General features: G+C 40.0%; 1 protein-coding gene across 13 annotated transcripts in view, besides 1 other annotated feature; it reads right to left on the bottom strand.

The window, feature by feature from the left end:
- Positions 1-18,635, bottom strand: part of ORC3 (origin recognition complex subunit 3) — an 87,689-nt gene that overhangs the window by 3,247 nt on the left and 65,807 nt on the right. For 4 of the 13 annotated variants that reach the window (NM_181837.3, XM_011535651.3, XM_047418548.1 and 1 more), the window contains 6 exons: positions 17,595-17,674; positions 16,559-16,656; positions 11,433-11,574; positions 9,718-9,834; positions 8,744-8,823; positions 7,126-7,559 (listed from right to left, as the gene is read on the bottom strand). In NM_181837.3, the coding sequence (NP_862820.1) occupies positions 7,454-7,559; positions 8,744-8,823; positions 9,718-9,834; positions 11,433-11,574; positions 16,559-16,656; positions 17,595-17,674 (623 nt within the window). In that variant the 3' untranslated portion in view covers positions 7,126-7,453. Of the gene's footprint in view, positions 1-7,125; positions 7,567-8,743; positions 8,824-9,717; positions 9,835-11,432; positions 11,575-16,558; positions 16,657-17,594; positions 17,675-18,635 lie in introns of those variants that run through there. The other 9 variants (NM_012381.4, XM_017010635.3, NM_001197259.2 and 6 more) reach the window with 5 other exon arrangements.
- Positions 1,819-2,019: a silencer, noted in NCBI's record as "peak5943 fragment used in MPRA reporter construct". NCBI's record gives its function as "represses an SCP1 promoter by STARR-seq MPRAs in K562 erythroleukemia cells {active_cell/tissue: K562}" and the evidence as "EXISTENCE:reporter gene assay evidence [ECO:0000049][PMID:32103011]".

Genomic DNA, 18,635 nt, shown 5'->3' with positions numbered 1-18,635 from the left:
TAATTGCTATAGAATTACCTCAGATATCAGTAGGATCCAGTTTTTTCTTTTAAGAACTTGATATGCAAAAGCATGATTCAGCAAATTTGACTCCCTTTCCATACATGGTTTCTAGACATAGCTTTCTTATAATGAAGTAAGCAAAAACATGCTTCAGTGAATTCATTTGTTGAATTCTAGTAGCATATTTCCAAAATTTAAGACAATCTTAAATACACATTTATAACTGACCAAGTTAGAAGAAAAAGGAATTTTTTTTTTTTTTTTTTTTTTTGAGATAGAGTTTTGCTCTTGTTGCCCAAGCTGGAGTGCAGTGGCACGATCTCGGCTCACTGCAATCTCTGCCTCCCAGGTTCAAGCGATTCTCCTGCCTCAGCCTCCTGAGTTGCTGGCATTACAGGAATGTGCCACCACACCCGGCTAATTTTTTGTATTTTTAGTAGAGACAGGGTTTCACCATTTTGGCCAGGCTGGTCTCGAACTCCTGACCTCAGGTGATCTGCCCACCTCGGCCTTCCAAAATGCTGGCGTGAGCCACTGCGCCCAGCCAGACCTCTTTTATTTTTAGCTTTGGTAATTACATTTCACCAATTCTCTGTTTAAAACAAGCCTAGAAAGTGGTTTCACAAGGTGCCCAGGCAATTTATATGCCAATTAGTGGTTGAGAAACATTGGTATAGCACAGGGTAGCAATAAGGTGCATGATTCTATGCCCTTCCCCCCTACTTTTTTTTTTTGAGATGGAGTCTTGCTCTGTCACCAGGCTGGAGTGCAGTGCTGCCATCTCGGCTCACTGTAACCTCCGCCTCCCGGGTTCAAGTGATTCTCCTGCCTCAGCCTCCCGAGTAGCTGGGACTACCGGCATGCACCACCACGCCCAGCTAATTTTTGTATTTTTAGTAGAGACGGGGTTTCACCATGTTGGCCAGGATGGTCTCGATCTCTTGACCTCATGATCTGCCTGCCTCAGCCTCCCAAAGTGCTGTGATTACAGGCGTGAGCCACTGCGCCTGGCCAATTCTACCCCCTTTTAATGGTCTAGAACAGAGATTCTCAACTTCAGCACTACTGGCAGTTTGGGCCAGATCATTCTTTGTCGTGGTGGCTATTGCTGTGCATTATAGGATATTTAGCCACATCTCTGGCCTCTACCACTAGAGGCCAGTTAAACCCCCTCCCACAATTGTGATAACCAAAGTGTTTGCAGACATTGCCAAATGTCCCTGAGGGACAAAACAGTTCCCAGCTAAGAACCACTGGTTAGCAGGATAGCCTGTAGTCCCAGCTACTTGGGAGGCTGAAGCACGAGAATCGCTTGAACTCAGGAGGCAGAGGTTGCAGTGAGCTGAGATCATGCCACTGCACTCCAGTCTGGGTGACAGAGTGAGACTCTGTCTCAAAAAAAAAAAAAAAAAAAAAAAATTTTTTTTTTTTGCTCCACAGCCAAATTTCTGCATTATCACTTATGCAAAAGTCCTAGCTTATGGGCTACTCTGACTTTAGATGGGTCCGGTAGTTGATTAGTCCAAATAACCAACCACACATGATTTCAATAGATTATTTTAGCTACCTAGGGATTCTGAATTCCCCAAATCCCTGAAATTGCTTGTAATAAGTATCTACAGAATTGTGTTAATAGTCATCTTATTCTTCCAGTAAAAGGCAGTACTGATACAGTACTGTACTATGATGTGTTTAGTAAATCTTTAACAAGTGCACATAGGTATAAGCGTTTGTACTTTTGGAAAAATAGGCAATCTGAGAAAAATAAATATTGGAGGTTTAAACTACTAAAGCTGTCTTTGGCCTATGGCAAGCACTTGACACGACCCTAAAGAAAATGGTAGAAGGTTCTCAGGCTCTACCTATCCCCAGAGACTGCTTTAGACAATTGGTGGGAGGGGAGAACTTTTGGAATCTGTTTAATATGCTGCCTAGGTGATTTAAGCAGCTAGGGTTGGAAATGACTTGTTTTTGCCCTGTTTGGGTTCTCTTTACTCCTTTCAAACTCTTACAGTAATTGGTATTAAATGAATATTCTACAAAAGCACCCGAATAGTCTATGTCTACTCATGGATACATGGCTCCCACAATTCTCTTGCTCCTGCATTTGCCCCAGGTAAGGAGCACGAGATGCAAACCTATGTCTCAGGCAAAGATACAGCTCCAGCAGTCCTCTCCTCTCTCTACTGCATCTATTTTCTTTCTCTACTAAATCATTTCCAAAAGCATAATAAGCATGTTATTAAAAAATCTTTTGATCCTATATCCCTTGCTAGTGATTATTTTAGTGCTCCCCTTTATAAAAGCAAAACTCAGTTTTCTAAACTTCCTCCAGTTTATTACCCCTTCCTTTTTTTTCACCAACTTGTTTTATTAGGAAAAGAAATTCAAACAGAAAAGTTGACTTTCCCACTTAAAATACTTCCCTAATTTAACATCGAGTCCTTATTTCAGATTTTTCCATGTGTCTCTTTTTTAAATAGCTACCCTCATCCCCCAAACACGATTCAATTAAGATTCCTACTTTCTGGAAATACTAGGCCTGTTGTCTTGTTGAGTTTTTCTTTGTACTGTCATTAATTTTAACTTCTGATATCCCTTTGAACTTTCTGTAAACTGAAAGGTCTAAAGTTTTCGCAAGTTTCGGGTTAAACTTGTTGTGCAAGAGTGCAAGGTGATGCTATGGTCTCCATATTGCATCACAACAGTTACGGCTTTTCCAGGCTGTTAAGTTTGGACACTTGGTTAGGTCATCTGATAGGTGATTAGAGTTCGTCTCCTCTCTGTTACTCTTAGTAAAAGGCAGCAAAGATTTCCACATTGTTAAATCTAATCAGCAGCCAGCATTTGACCTTGAAGCACTCTTCAGTTGGCTTGCAAAATACTACACTTGCTTTGACGTTTCTCCTTTACTGGCTGCTCCTTCTCTGTCTTGCTGTTGGCCCAATCTTCATTTCCCTGCATTTTGCTAAAACATAGGTGTGCCCCCGAGCTTGACCTTGGGCTGCTTGCCTCCTCTCTTAGTACTCATCTTGGTGATCTCATCATAAGGACATCAGATTATATTAACGTCTTCATGTGACATCTTCAGTTAGGTATCTAGTAGACACCTCGAAATTTACGTCTAAAACTTACTTTTGCCTCTGAAATTTTTCCTCTCAGTCATCCTCAATCACTTAATGGCCACTCCATTCTTTGTTTCTAGGCAGAAATGGTCTTGCACTCCTCACATCCTTCATCTGATCTTAGTTCCACCTTAAAATATTAACATCTCTACTGCTATTACCCTAATCCAAGACACTATCATAGCTTGCTTGGATTATTTCTGTGGTTTCCTAACCGGTCTTTGTTTTGCCTCATTTTGTCTCCTCTCACCCATCCTATTCTACTCTCATAGCAACCAGACTGATCCTTTAAAAGTCTAAGTCTTGTTTAGATGGCTTCCTAAGTAAAAGTAAAACTTCACAAAGGTCTGTGGAGCCCTAAATTACCTGCACTCTACCCCACCTCATTCAATTCCTATTGAATTCCTCCTGCTCACTCTACCTTGTCCACATTGGCCACTTTTGCTGTTTTTCCAGCATAGGATTTTTGTTACTGCTAGTGTCTGCCTAGCATGCTCTTCTCCCACAAAACTTCATGGAAAATTTTTTCACCACTTTTGACTTTTTGCACAAACGTCATCTCAATGAAGCCTGCTCTGACCACTCTTTAAAATTGCAGCCTGACATCCTGGTGCTCTGCCCTGCTGCTTTCTTTGTTTTACTTCCTGTGCTAAACGCAGTGAAGGCAGGGTTCTTTGCTCACTGGCATACAGTGCCTGGCACATGGCACATGCTTGGTACTTTTTGAATGTATTTCACCCTACTTCGATTCAGGGTTTTCAGATCAGTATTTCATTAAATGAAAGATTTAGTAAGGCAGAATACTTCCTTTGTAAGATATTTTGGTAGAGGTTTCCTGAATTACAGAATGGACACAGAATTGAACTGGCATTTCATAGGCTGTCTTGAGGGTTTTGTGCTCCATTAATGATTACCACAAAGGAGCTTCATGTTTTAATTTTATAGCTCTTTTGTGTATTCATTGTGAAAATAGGGCAGTTTTCGACTGGGCACGGTGGTTCATGCCTGTAATCCCAGCACTTTGGGAAGCCTAGGTGGGTGGATCGCTTGAGCCCAGGAGTTCAAGACCAGCCTGGCCAACATGGCAAAACCCCATCTCTACTAAAAATACAAAAATTAGCTGGGCGTGGTGGCACACACCTGTGGTCCCAGCTACTTGGGAGGCCGAGGCAGGAGAATGGCTTGAACCCAGGAGGCAGAGGTTGCAGTGAGCCCAAATCGTGTCACTGCACTCTGGGTGACAGAGTGAAATTCTGTCTCGAAAAAGAAAATAGGGCAGTTGCCATCCTGCTACTTTCTTACATAATCTTTAGTGAGGAAAGTCAAAGTGGTTCAGGGCATGACATGCGTTTATGTTGGATAAATTCAACTTAGTGCCCAGCAGAGGAAAAGTAAGGCATGGCTACTTACTCTACTCAGTGAATCTGTGCCTTATATATGAATCTGCTGGTCTGTGTGAGGCCAGTTCCTCTGTACCTTACAGTGTAAAAAGCATCTTGCTGTATGAGTGTTGTTCAAAGTAATAGTTTCTAAACACTGACAATTTTATCTGGTGCTCATATGCATCATTTGAAACTACATTGTACGTAGTGATGGTGTCCTTGTATTGGAAGACCTTCCCTGTTGCCAACTTCCTTACCTTAAATAGATGGAAAAATCATTAAAATCACCTATTCTTTCCCTAGATTTGTACCAACCATTGTTTAAAAAATGAAACACATGGTTGGAGGCAAGACTAGAAGAAGAATGACTAGAATATTGCGAAAAAATATTGAGCTAATTGCTATGAAGGTAAATCATGGAATCTCAGTGACTTAACATGAGAAATTTATTCTTTGATCATATTCATTTGGTGGGCTGTGTTCCACACCCTCACTCAAAGACCCTTAGAATGACAGAGGCTCTGTCTTTAATACATGGATTCCAAGGTGTCAAGGCTTCTATTTGTCCAGTTGCTTTCTATGGTAGTAGTGGTACTTGTGTTTGCATATAATAAATTCCTTAACAAACATTCAAGCTGACAGTCCTGTGTACATATGTACAGGTGTTTACATTCTGTTGAATAAGAAATCCTGGCACCTTTTAAATGAAGATGAAAAGATACCTAATCTAACTTAACTACCTACGCTGGTCATTGTCTTTCCCAAAGCTCTGCAGGGCTAGGTGCTTTCTGCTCTGACTTGCAGTTGATTATTTATGGTACCTTGGGGTTTCCCCTTCCTTTTAGCCTTGGCAACATTTTGACATTTTTTGAGATATATTTCATCTAGCTTTTGTTTTGTTTTGTTTTTGAGACGGAGTTTCACTCTTTCTGCCCAGGCTGGAGTGCAATGGTGTAATCTCAGCTCACTACAACCTCCACCTTCTGGGTTTAAGCGATTCTCCTGCCTCAGCCTTCCATGTAGCTGGGATTACAGGCGTGTGCCACCACGCCCAGCTAATTTTGTATTTTTATTTTATTTTTTTGATACAGAGTCTCGCTCTGTCGCCTAGGCTGGAATGCAATGGTACAATCTTGGCTCACTGCAACCTCCGCCTCCCAGGTTCAAGTGATTCTCCTGCCTCAGCCTCCCCAGTAGCTGGGATTACAGGCGCCCACCAACACGCCCAGCTAATTTTTGTATTTTTAGTAGAGATGGGGTTTTACCAGGTTGGCCAGGCTGGTCTCAAACTCCTGACCTCACGTGATCCACCCGCCTCAGCTTCCCAAAGTGCTGGGATTACAGGCGCGAGCTGCTGTACCCAGCTCATCTAGCATTTTTATGTGCTTAAAGCAGGGAGTGAGGTGGGGAGGGTGAGCAGCTACCCATTAATGTCATCTCAGCCCACCACGCTGCCAGAGGTCTAAGGTGTTCTTTATTCTAAGCTCATATTAATACCTCCTTTTACATTCCTGAATGAAGGAGGTTTGATTATGCAGGCTGAATATCCCAAATCCTAAATCTTAAGTGCTCCAAAATCTGAAACTTTTTGCGTACTGACATGCTCAAAGGAAATGCTCACTGGAGCATTTTGGGTTTTGGATGCTGAACTGAACTTGTTAAGTATAATGCAAATATTTCAAAATCTAAAATCCAAAACACTTCTGTTTCCAAGCATTTTGGATAATGGATACTCATAAAACTCTTCAAAGCCTGTGAGCACACACACGGGCACACACACATAATCCTGCAATGACATAGTTCTAAGGTTTGCAAACCAAGTTTTTTCTGGACATGGACTTTCCCCCCATATCTGCATGGTAATTTTGTATGTTAGTGAGTAGCCTTAAAGTCCCATAATTCTCTTGGGAGTAGAGCATTAAATAATGAACTTTAGCTATCTTTGTTTCATTATGTCTTGCTGAGTTTCTGCCATAGAAGAGATCGAGATGTCATTTCATCTGGGCCTTACTTTGCTCATCTGAGTTGTATTTGTTTGGGATGTGATTTGTAGAGGCCTTACTGGCTCCATGACAGGTCATCCCGAAGTAGAATATTTACTGCCTAAATAAAGCCAAACAGTTTGGGACTTTTTTTTTTGACACGGAGTCTCACTCTGTCACCCAGGCTGGAGTGCAGTGGCCGATCTCAGTTCACTGCAACCTCCGCCTCCCGGGTTCGAGCAATTCCCCTGCCTCAGGCTCCCGAGTAGCTGGGACTACAGGCATGTGCCACCACACCTGGCTAATTTTTTGTATTTCTTAGGAGAGATGGGGTTTCACCTTGTTGGCCAGGATGGTCTCGATCTCCTGCCCTTGTGATCCACCCGCCTTGGCCTCTCAAAGTGCTGGGATTACAGGTGTGAGCCACCACGCCTGGCCTTTTTTTTTTTTCTTTAAAGTTGTAAGACTACAGGAAATGGAGAGGCAGAGACAGTTTTGGAACCTATGTAGTCACCAGGAGAAACAACCTGTAAGATATTCATGTTACTTACTGCCTACTACACTAAAGTGAGGAATGCCAATGCAGGGAATTGGGAGAGGAGGAATGAGGATTGCTAAAGCAACTGCAAATAATTTATACTCCTGGATAACGGAATTTATTACATTTACATACTCTAAGTTCAAGAATGATTTACTCACAATTTAGTAATGACTTTGGAAAGTACAGTAAAATGTGTGAGCAGTTTTAGTTACATTATTATTTGTTGGAGTCTAAAGTACTCCACAGGTGTTTTGATACATGCCTGTTTGGGGTTAGCAATGTACTTTTCTGGTTAAACATCAATGGGGGTTACACATTTATCTTCTCAACAAAACAGGCTCCTCTAATATATGTAAATATGACTGGTCACCTTTTTCTCTTAAGCTAAATGTGATAGTTCTGGCTTTGCTTATTTGCTTTCTAGCAGCCTCCCCATGTTAGTCTTGCCACATGGTCAGTCTTCTGTTTGGTAGGTTTTATAAATCCTAAAAGTTCTAGTTCAGAAACAGCTCTAATAAACCGAGCACTGGAGGCTTTAATTAAGGAAACTGGCCGTGCTGTATTTTTGACAAAAAGGGATTAAAATCTCAATGTTAAAATACTAGTTGGTAAAATGAAGTAGATAGTTCAGATATAAACTCCTAAATTAAACTATAACTGTTACTGGAAAACATTAATTAGAATCCACTATCAATAAAACATAAATGGAAAAGTACTTAATGCTTCCTAAATCTAATGTTCTACATAGTATGGAAATTGCTCCCCGCCCCCACTTCTAAACGTACATTAGAAAAATAGAGAATTCAGACCAGGTCAGTGGCTCACACCTGTAATCCCAGCACTTTGGGAGGCCGAGGCAGGCAGATCACCTAAGGTCAGGAGTTCAAGACCAGCCTGGCCAACATGGTGAAATCCCATCTCCCCTAAAAATACAAAAATTAGCCAGGCATGGTGGCAGGCGCCTGTAATCCCAGCTATTTGGGAAGCTGAGGCAGGAGAATCGCTTGAACCCGGGAGGTGGAGGTTGCGGTGAGCCGAGATCGTGCCACTGCACTCCAGCTTGGGCAACAATAGCAAAACTCTGTCTCAAAAAAAAAAAAAAAAAAAAGAATTAGGCCGGGTGAGGTGGCTCACACCTATAATCCTAGCACTTTGGGAGGCCAAGGCGGGCGGATCACAAGGTCAGGAGTTCGAGACCAGCCTGGCCAACATGGTGAAACCCCGTCTCTACTAAAAATACAAAAATTAGCTGGGCTTGGTGGCAGGCACCTGTAATCCCAGCTACTTGGGAGGCTGAGGCAGGAGAATTGCTTGAACCCAGGAGGCGGACGTTGCAGTCAGCCAAGATCGCACTACTGCACTCCAGCTTGGGCGATAGACGAGACTCCGTCTCAAAAACAAACAAACAAACAAAAAAAACAAAAACCAAAAAAAGAGAATTCAATAATGGCAGTTTCATTTTTGGTAAATTTTAAAATATAATCTTGATATAAATTTGATACCAAAAGTTTTAGGTTTGGTCTCATTTTGGATTAAATTCAAAATAAAGATTCAGAAATTTCAGTTATTCTAGCACCATATGGTTAATATTAACAAGTAATACGGTTGTTTGGAGTACGCCTTTATAAATATCTAGTGTAGACCTGGAGAAATTATAAACTTATATTTTATGTGTAGTTGGACATTGTAGAAATGGTTTTAAAAGGATACTGGATAATTTCATTCATTTCTTCTGAGGTTGCAGAATTTGCATCCATTTTTTCAGCAGCTGTCACAACTGTTGCAAAAGCCTTTTGAATAGACAAGACAGAAGAAAATAAAAATGTCTACAGTTGCCAAACATCTTTTACTATACTTCTTTTAATGGCTGTTGATAGCTGGCACATATTCTTCATTATATCAAATTTAAGATTGTCAAAACTACACTGATGATCACTTTAAACCACTTATATATTAAAAGATAAAGTAATGGTTCCTGAATAATCTTGTTTCAGAGAACTAAGAGTATGCAGAGAAAAGAAACGAAGCTAGTCAAAGGTAAAAGAACAAGAAAGCCCTGTTTCCTCTACTAATCTTACTCCAGGAAAATATCTATTTTTCTTGGAAGCAGCCAATTATGGATATTTTTTAATGGTGACAAGACATCTGTAAGGCCTTTAATAGAGTTAAGATCTTTGTAATACTATTCTGAAGACAGAAAGAATAGTTGTTTATTTTAAAGAATAACAACAGTTGTTTATTGCCTTGCCAAGTATTCCTTATACTTCCTGATTGCTAAATCTGTTGTGTAGTTACTTCAATTTTTTTTCTTTTAAGCAAGAAGAGAAATGCTAGTTAATAATATACTTTATTTTGTGAAATAACAGAACTGACCTAAATTGTTTAGTTTTTGCTTAATGCTAACTATTGGGTTAGATCACATACTTATTTTGACCTAGCATGAACACAGAATTGGCTTGGTTAAGGAATTCAGGATCAGAGGGCAGGGGATTGGGAGTGGGGACTGTTGAACTACCACTTCCTAAGGAACTTTTAAAGTTTGAAATGATTTATGCTTTCCAAATAAAAGACAAGGCATTAAACACAAGATAAATTCCAAAGCACTAAAAGTATAAAACTATTCTGAGAAAGTCATCATGGATGGTTAGAAAAATATCTAGCTTGTTCTTTTCCCTACAACCTACCTCTGACCAGTCCACGAGGTTGATGAGCCTGCTACACTCTAGGTGCAGTTTGTATGCTATGCAGATGTCTGGGGCGATATTCGGAATGCAGCCTTCTTCGCTTTTCAGTGCTTCATTCTAACAATTAACAGTAAACTAAGATGACTAACTTTTATAAATTATTAGGAATAAAATCAGACATTAATGAAGCCCCCAACCTAAACTGAGTAAACCAGTAAATGGAATCTTGGTTTCCCTTATTTAGTGAGTGAGTCTATTCAATAGTTAGCTAGTTCTTGTTTAGGTTTATGTCTTGGTCATAACCCCTCTAGTTCTTAGTCACTAGAAGAATATTCCCAGGATTAGAAGATAAGCATATTTTTCATTTCAATCCATAAATTACTAATTTCTCAGACCTGAATGCACTTAATGTAAAAAGTTTATGGAAATCTTTAGGAATACTTAATAAAATGGTACTTCCAACACTTATAATTAGCTGAATTCTAACAATTACTATACTGTATTAGTAAATACTAATACCACTTACCAGGGGTATAAATTTCTTTTAAAGAAAAGACTACGTTGTCAACACTGCAGACCTTAAGCCCTATAGAAACCATCAGTGTTTCTTCAACCTATTTGAAATCCATGGCTTTTACTGAGAAACACAAAGTCTTACATACACACCCTGCTCTGATATTATAATATCAGGGGTATATTATAATATATCCCACCCAAAGACAACTGAAATCATACCAGTTCTCTTCTGTGACCCACCAGCCAAGAAGAAGACAGATTTTGTAAGTTTTAATTTATGGTTTATATATTAAAATTAACTGATTTTTTGGTTAAGTATGAAATTATTCAGTGGTTTTCACCATCACTGAAAACCATTGACTTATATCGTCCTACTCAATATTCTTGTAATACTCTGCATGTTTGTGTGCCGTTTTGCAATGAGAAGCCAGTACACTGGAATGCTCTTCATAGGTCTTACGGAGTTGTTTCTTAAGTATTTATTGTGGCAAGATTTCTGGGTATTTAACTTACCACTCTTTCATGTATATACAGCTTATTGAATGTTTAAAGTGATCATTTTGCCCGGTCATAAGAAAGCTAGTTTCTAAAATTGTGAGCTGTCTTGAACTATTGTTTAAAGAGCTTCCAGGAGTTGATAACTGTGTCTGGACTTTAGCAAGGGCAGCTGAAGTGTGCTGCCCCAGGAGTTTTAGTGGCAGACTGCTGGTTATCCTCTACACTCAGCTCTGCAGATGCTCTCAGAATAGACCTTTCTTTGTTTTAAAATCCAAGATGAAGTCCCAAAGTATTTCTCTTTCCCACTAGAAACAACCATTTCGGTCTTTCAGTAATTTATTAGGCCATATTGTTTAATCCCTGTCTGCTGTTATGTTTACAGGAAACATTTCTTTTATTTTCACAAGAGTGGTAACATTATACTCTCAAGTCTTTGTGCCTATGATCTGACTTTAGCATGTGAAGGGCAAAGATTACACATGGTCAAAAACTGGCAGCAACAGTTGACTACTAATTGCTATCTTTATGGGGTTAGAAATTTTTTTCTACAGTCTAAAGAATTTTTAAAAATATATGAGACGTGCAACCCTGAATTGCCGACTCTCTGCTCATTAAAACATAACTGCAAATTTAGTATATTTTTATGACAATGACGCCCAGAGTCTGAGCTAAACTATCAGAAAACTAAATGTTCATCTTACCTTGAGATAATAGTAAGGATTGTTGAGTGCAGTATGGAGGGCAATTCGCGGAGCAGCATTTAAATGCTCACGAAGGGCATGGGCAGCACTGAAGTACACCACCTCATGGAGAGGCTGTGTCTCAGGAGGCAGAAGGTATTCTCTGAAACAGCCAGTCAGGCATCCATGTTTAGATAAGCACAGGTTTATTTTCTTTATATATAATATATATATTTTTTCCTTTAAGCTCTGTTGGACTTCAATTTTCACTATAACATTTTTGTCAATCCTCTCTCTGTAGAGGACTGAACCATTTACTAAAAGCAAAATTAACAACCAAAAACAAACGAATGAAACAAACCCAAATATCAGCTCTAATACAGTTTCACTCAGAACTGCATCTCTTCCATATAATAGTTTTTAAAACTACCTCTAGACTCTTTATAAGAAGCTGTATATTTCAGTTCTGAGTTAAACCTTTAGGAACAAATGTATATATACTACATTTCTGCTTAGAAATCTTTAAGATAGCATTTCTTAAAGTAAATGAGAAAACAGATATCTACATTTTCTAGCACAGCAAACATTTAACCTTTGGCAATATTAAACACAGGCCTGGAATTAAGAGTTCAGGAAATTCTTCTTGGATCACAGAAAATTTTTAGTTGATATCTTTCATGGAAATGACACCTCAAAAGTTGTGGGGTTTTTTTGTTTTGTTTTGGTTTTTTTTGAGACGGAGTTTCACTCTTGTCACCCAGACTGGAGTGCAGTGGTGCAATCTCGGCTCACTGCAACCTCTGCCTCCCAGGTTCAAGTGAGTCTCCTGACTCAGCCCTCAGCCTCCTGAGAGGCTGGGATTACAGGTGCCCACCAACACGCCCGGCTAATTTTTGTATTTTTAATAGAGATGAGGTTTCACCATGTTGGCCAGGCTGGTCTTGAACTCTTGACCTCAGGTGATCCATCAGCCTTGGCCTCCCAAAGTGCTGGGATTACAGGTGTGAGCCACCGCACCCGGCCCAAAAGTTTTTTATATATTGGAATTACTTATTACGTTAGAAGGCAGAAAAGACTAAATCTTAGTTTCAGAGTATTGAAAAACAAATCATTAATAAAATTTCACTTATAAAAAATCTGCCATAATTTGGGATTTTTTTCACCTATGAGCTAGATGATAAAACAATTTTAATAAATTCGGAACTAAAAAATATGGCATTAAAAATTTGCTTTGCATGTATAATGAGCCCATCAGGTGGTCTGTGCCATGACAGTGATACTATACTGGATGCCTGGAGGGTGGCAAATTGGAGGGGAGAAGCTTTGGCACACATAACCCATAGACAGAGTAATGTCACTAACTGGATTAAAGTATATAGTTAACTCACATGACTTCATAAAGAAGATTTCTGGGGCTTAGTCCAGTCCTGAGCCTAAAGTATTTTGGCCACATGACAGCTTGTGTCAGCTCCTTTTCCTACCAGTACAAGCAGAGCAAAGCAGCTACCTCAGCCCAGTCACTGGGGACATTATTCCCCTTCTTCCAAGTATCCTTTCTCTTCTTCTGGAGAGGATACCACTCCCTAGAAATCCCCTACACTTGCTTTGTCCCGATGTGGCCAGGAGCTCTGAAGAAGAGAGGAAGTGGAAAGGGTATTCAACATGGACATCACTCTTCACCATCCTCCTTTTCTCCCCCATCTCAAGAGCTAATGACCCCTTGCTCATTCTAATTCTAGGTGCTGCTCCTTCTCCAGAGTCAACTGGAACAAAACTTACTTGCAAAGAGTGTATGATTTTGACTTGATCCTCACTAAGAAACAATATTCTATACCTCAGATACTGTTAACATCTTAATTACTCAAGGTTAAGTTAACTTAGCTGTAGCTTCAGGAAATAGTTTCTGTGATGGCTGGCTACCAATTTGTAATTTCTGACCATAAACTCTTCCTACACTAACCTCAGGCAGTTATTTCCCAATCATTATACATGGCTGTCATTAAAAGATCTTGTTGCAGTCCCTGCTATGTAATAAGGATTGGATATCTAACAAGGCAATCAGATAGAGTCAACTTCAGAAACTCAAACTATCGCCTCACATTTTAACATTTTTACATGTGATATATAGAAATTCAGGCATTTCCCAAGGCAAAAGACCTCTCTAGATATCCTCAAAGAACCATCAGAGCAAAAATAAAATATCTGCCTTAATTTTGTTTCCACTGGCTACATTAGTTGAACAACAACAGTAACAAAATACATTATACATTAGAATTTTTATCTGACTGCAGACTTGGAGATTGACATAGAAATATACTTCTGTGACTTATTTATGTGAGAAGAAGTAAGCAATGAGTCTGGCACTAAAGCACTGCATTATGCTCATTTTGGATTCAGACCAGACAAATGATAGGCCTTCCCTGAAAGAGGTGGTTCTGAAGGAACTGGAGGAATTAGTATCAACAAGGGCTACAAAGTTGAAGCTTGCTATTGGCAAAAACAGTAACTTAGAAAGTGGCAATTTATTCTCATCTCTCAAGATCTGGCAACTTATTCTTGCCTGCCAGTATTTTTGCCAAGAGCTGCTCATGGTATACTGTGAACTCTGCCTCCTGAAGTCTCCTGCTTATATTTGTCTTTAAAGGACATCCTTTCTCCATAACTCCAAGCTCTGCCCAGACATCTGTGGTGTGGCTGTTGAGGGCAGTGTAGAGAAATGGAGAGGGCCTTTTGGCAGATGTCAGGAGAATGAGACTGTGTGACCTTGCATGAGTCACAGCCCCTCTCTGGCCTTTAGCTGCCACAGGGCTGACTCTTCAGGTCTCTTTTAGCTTTAACATGCTACAATTCTAATCTCTTCCCTCCTGGGACAATCTTGGTAAAGACACTAAATCCTAGTATGGAAGATTTTGTGATTTTACAACAAAACACATTTAATTATACTGAGCATTATTTCAACAACTGCTCAGAAAGGTAAAAAGTCAGACATATTAGGTGAAGGATCATGACAGGGAAACGGCTGATGTGATTTCAGAGCCTACAATTTGGAATTTGTAAGAACTCTGGAACCTGACATTTGGCCTAAAATTGGCAAATCACATTGCAAAATTATTTTTAGTGACTACCATGTTCACTGCCTGGTAAAAGGGAAGAGTCAAGAGTTTGGGGCTAGACTCTACAAGAACAGGAAAGCCCAGTAGGGCAAGGTTAACTCTGTGGGTTCTATGTAATTTTTGACCAGTATTTGGCCAATATTGCAGTTCATCACTTTTTTTTTTTTTCTCGAGATGGAGTCTTGCTCTGTTGCCTAGGCTGGAGTGCAGTGGTGCGATCTCAGCTCACTGCAACCTCTGCCTCCCGGGTTCAAGCCATTCTCCTCCCTCAGCCTCCCAAGTAGCTAGGATTACAGGTGTGCGCCACCATGCCCAGCTATTTTTCGTATTTTTAGTAGAGTCGGGGTTTCACCATGATGGTCAGGTTGGTCTCAAACTCCTGTCCTCAAGTGATCTGCCCACCTTGGCCTCCCAAGATGCTGGGATTACAGGCGTGAGCCAATGCGCCCGGCCTTGGTTGATCGTTTTGGACCTTTTCATGGCATTAGCAATTTCTCCCCAATGACTAGGAACAATGACTCTGTCCCCACATTATTCTGGAAAACTAAGCTTTTCACTTTCAGAAAAGACATGTAATTTGTCAGAAAAGCACTCTTTCTCTTTAATAATTGTGCTGCTATTTTCTCAGTACTTTATTCAGTGCCTAGCCTGCTGTTGGGTTTAAACTGCCATTAAAAATTACAATAAACAGGGCCGGGCGCGGTGGCTCACGCCTGTAATCCCAGCACTTTGGGAAGCCGAGGTGGGTGGATCATGAGGTCAGGAGTTCAGGACCAGCCTGACCAACATGGTGAAACCCCGTCTCTACTAAAAATACAAAAATTAGCCAGGCCTGTTGGCACATGCCTGTAATCCCAGCTACTCGGGAGGCTGAGGCAGGAAAATCCCTTGAACCCGGGAGGCGGAGGTTGCAGTCAGCCAAGATCACACCACTGCACTCCAGCCTGGGCGACAGAGTGAGACTCCGTCTCAAAAAAAAAAAAAAAAAAAAAAATTACAATAAACAATGATAACAGGTTCTCCCCCCCCCGCCCCACTTTTTAGGTATTAAATCGTTTTCTTTTGCACACTTCTCATTTTTTTCTGTAGCATGCCCAACTTCCACCAAACTTAGGTGGGTGATTTTACACGGCTACATAAAGCTGACTTTTGGGAAATCCATGAATCAGAATGATCTGGGTTTCCTAAAAAGGAAACATCTTAAAATACAGGCTGGATTGGTAGACTTCTAAATTTACCCAGCACATGTCTCAACATAAATTTAGTGCTGATAATGAGGTGCACTGGCATTGTTTAGAATTAAATGTTCTTTCTTCAGGATAAAATAGAGCAGCATGGCTAGTCTGCTCTACTTTCTGGGCTTGGCTCAGATCCAGCATTTACTCCTAGCAAAGATAAAGTGTAATACAAATACTTTATTATTAGAAAGAGAAACATTCACTTTCTATCTCATCTCTCCCCACCTGACCTAATGAAGTAGATCAAATTTAAGCCTATATTCTTAACTGAGATTAAAAGAATGAACTAAGTCATTTGATTAGACATCTTGATAATGATGGAAAAAGAATAAAAATTACAATTCTTTTTTTTTTTTTTGAGACGGAGTCTTGCACCGTTGCCCAGGCTGGAGTGCAGTGGCACGATCTTGGCTCACTGCAAGCTCCGCCTCCTGGGTTCATGCCATTCTCCTGCCTCAGCCTCCCGAGTAGCTGGGACTACAGGTGCCCACCACCACACCCAGCTAATTTTTTGTACTTTCAGTAGAGACAGGGTTTCACCTTGTTAGCCAGGATGGTCTCGATCTCCTGACCTCGTGATCCACCAGCCTTGGCCTCCCAAAGTGCTGGGATTACAGGCGTGAGCCACCACGCCTGGCCTAAAAATTACAACTCTAAGCTAGATGGAGAGACCTGAAAAGCATAAAGCCTAACCTAGGAGAAAAATGTTCTGGATTGGCTATAGACAGCTATGACACCAGTGTTATTTGGAAAAACAGCATGATTTTTAGCTCTTAAGAGCTAAATTTAGACTTACCTCACTAGACAGTCAATGAAGTTCACAACATTTTCTCTGAGTACTTCAAATTTGGTTTGCTTCTTACTTCTTCTTAACTCCTTCATTTCCAATAAGGACTATAGATAAAAGAACATAGCTTTTCTGGTGATCCTCAGACAGAAAACCCCTCAGAGGGAGCTCTGTTGGTAAGTTCTATAGAAGCACCTGATGCCCTTTCCATAAGACAGGATGTACAGAGAAAGATCAAAATGGGTTTTGTTTATTCTTTTTATTTTTAAGGTCTGGCAAGAATCTCGCCTCAAAGGTGTTTTGCTTTATAATATACAAGCAAATTTTTAGGGAAAGAAGAAAAGGGCAGTTCACTTTACTACTAAATTACATGGCAGAGTGCTCACTATTCAGTCCATTAAGTCATTTAAGAAAAGGACTTAACAGGATAAAGAAAAAAATCTTGCCTTTTTGCCATACTAACAGAATAGATTCCATGTGTTTTATTTTACTTAGATTGAAATTTTACTCTACATTTATCATAATTTGGTATCACAGTACAAAGAAGGTTCTTCATTTCGACAATCAAGATCCTAAAGTTAGAACTATCTGAAAAAGAATATATTGGATATACTGTGGCTCAATTTCTGCTCTATACTTGAATATGCATTTTAAAAAATCAAGGAAAGTAACTAAAACTAATTAGTTAGGCTCTTTTAAATCTCTCAGTTTGATCAAACAGAAAAATACATCAGATAAATAATCAGATTTGTGCAGCCATGTTCCCATTTTCTCTTATTGCTAGCTGATTCTCTTTCTCTTGCTGAGCCCACAGGAATGGTTTCCACCTATGTTAGCTAGTAGGTTCCAGAATGTGTATATGTAGAGTAATGATGGCAATGGGACTAACAGGATGTTCAACTTAGAAGTGAGTTAAAAGTCTGCTTTGTTCCTGGTTGTGGTTTAAAAATGAAAACAAAAACATCCAGGCAGAGTTAATCTAGAGCACAAACTGAAAAAAGGGAGTGTCACAGGATGCAGCTGGAAGGGAAGAGAGTGACCTGACCTTCTGAAGATGATAGAGGTCTGTCTTCTGAAGCCCCTTTGGCTGTGACCCAGAAGCATCTTCTTCCTCTTTGGTTTCTGCTTTTAATACAAAACCAGTAGACATCAATGAGGGTAAATCCAAGTCAAGGGAACAAACATTTCTACTACTCCAAAGTAAAAGTTTCACCTATATATATTTTTTTAATGTGGCAAGGGATCAAGATTCCATCTGATAAATGATTTCTTACAGAAGCTGAAGGCCAATAATATATAACTTGTGCTGTAGTGATGTCTTCAAAAAATCAGCTACTGAATTTTAAAAGTGTAACCACAATGAAAACAAAACAAAATACAACCTAACAAAACTCCCTCAAACCAACAGCAAAAAGTCTCAAAAAAAAAAATTTTTTTTTTTCAGATGGAGTCTTGCTCTGTTGCCCAGGCTGGAGTGCAGTGGCGCCATCTTGGCTCACTGCAACCTCCTCCTCCCAGTTCAAGTGCTTCTCCTGCCTCAGCCTCCGGAGTAGCTGGGATTACAGGTGCCGGCCACCATGCCTGGCTAATTTTTGTATTTTTAGTAGAGAAGGGGTTTCGCCACGTTGGCCAGGCTGGTCTCGAACTGCTGACCTCAGGTGATCCACCCGCTTTGGCCTCCCAAAGTGCTGGGATTACAGGCACGAGCCACCATGCCCAGCCAGTCTCAAATATTTTTGATGTTATACATAGCTTTTTAAAAAAATAATAAAAACTTAAAACTGTTTTCCTTTGATTATGTCAAGATTGTAAACAACAAAATTTGAGTATGAGGAGGGTAGTGTGTAAAAGTTTTGAAATAATCCACTAAAACATAAAGTGCATCATGGTTCTTTAGCAAAGGGAAAGAAAACCATAACTGCTTAAATGTACAGCTGTGCTCCTTCTAGAGAGCATAATGCTCTCATATTCTTCTTCAAGTGCAGGTTGGGTTTTGTGAACCCCACACACATGGTTTGTTTGGCCTAAAACTATGACAGGAGGATGCAGCTGGAGAATATGCATTGGCTTAAAGAATAAACTGCTT

Source organism: Homo sapiens, chromosome 6 (genome assembly GCF_000001405.40).
Source record: "Homo sapiens chromosome 6, GRCh38.p14 Primary Assembly".
In the NCBI taxonomy this organism is placed as follows: domain Eukaryota; kingdom Metazoa; phylum Chordata; class Mammalia; order Primates; family Hominidae; genus Homo; species Homo sapiens.
This window is presented reverse-complemented; position numbering and strand designations above follow the sequence as displayed.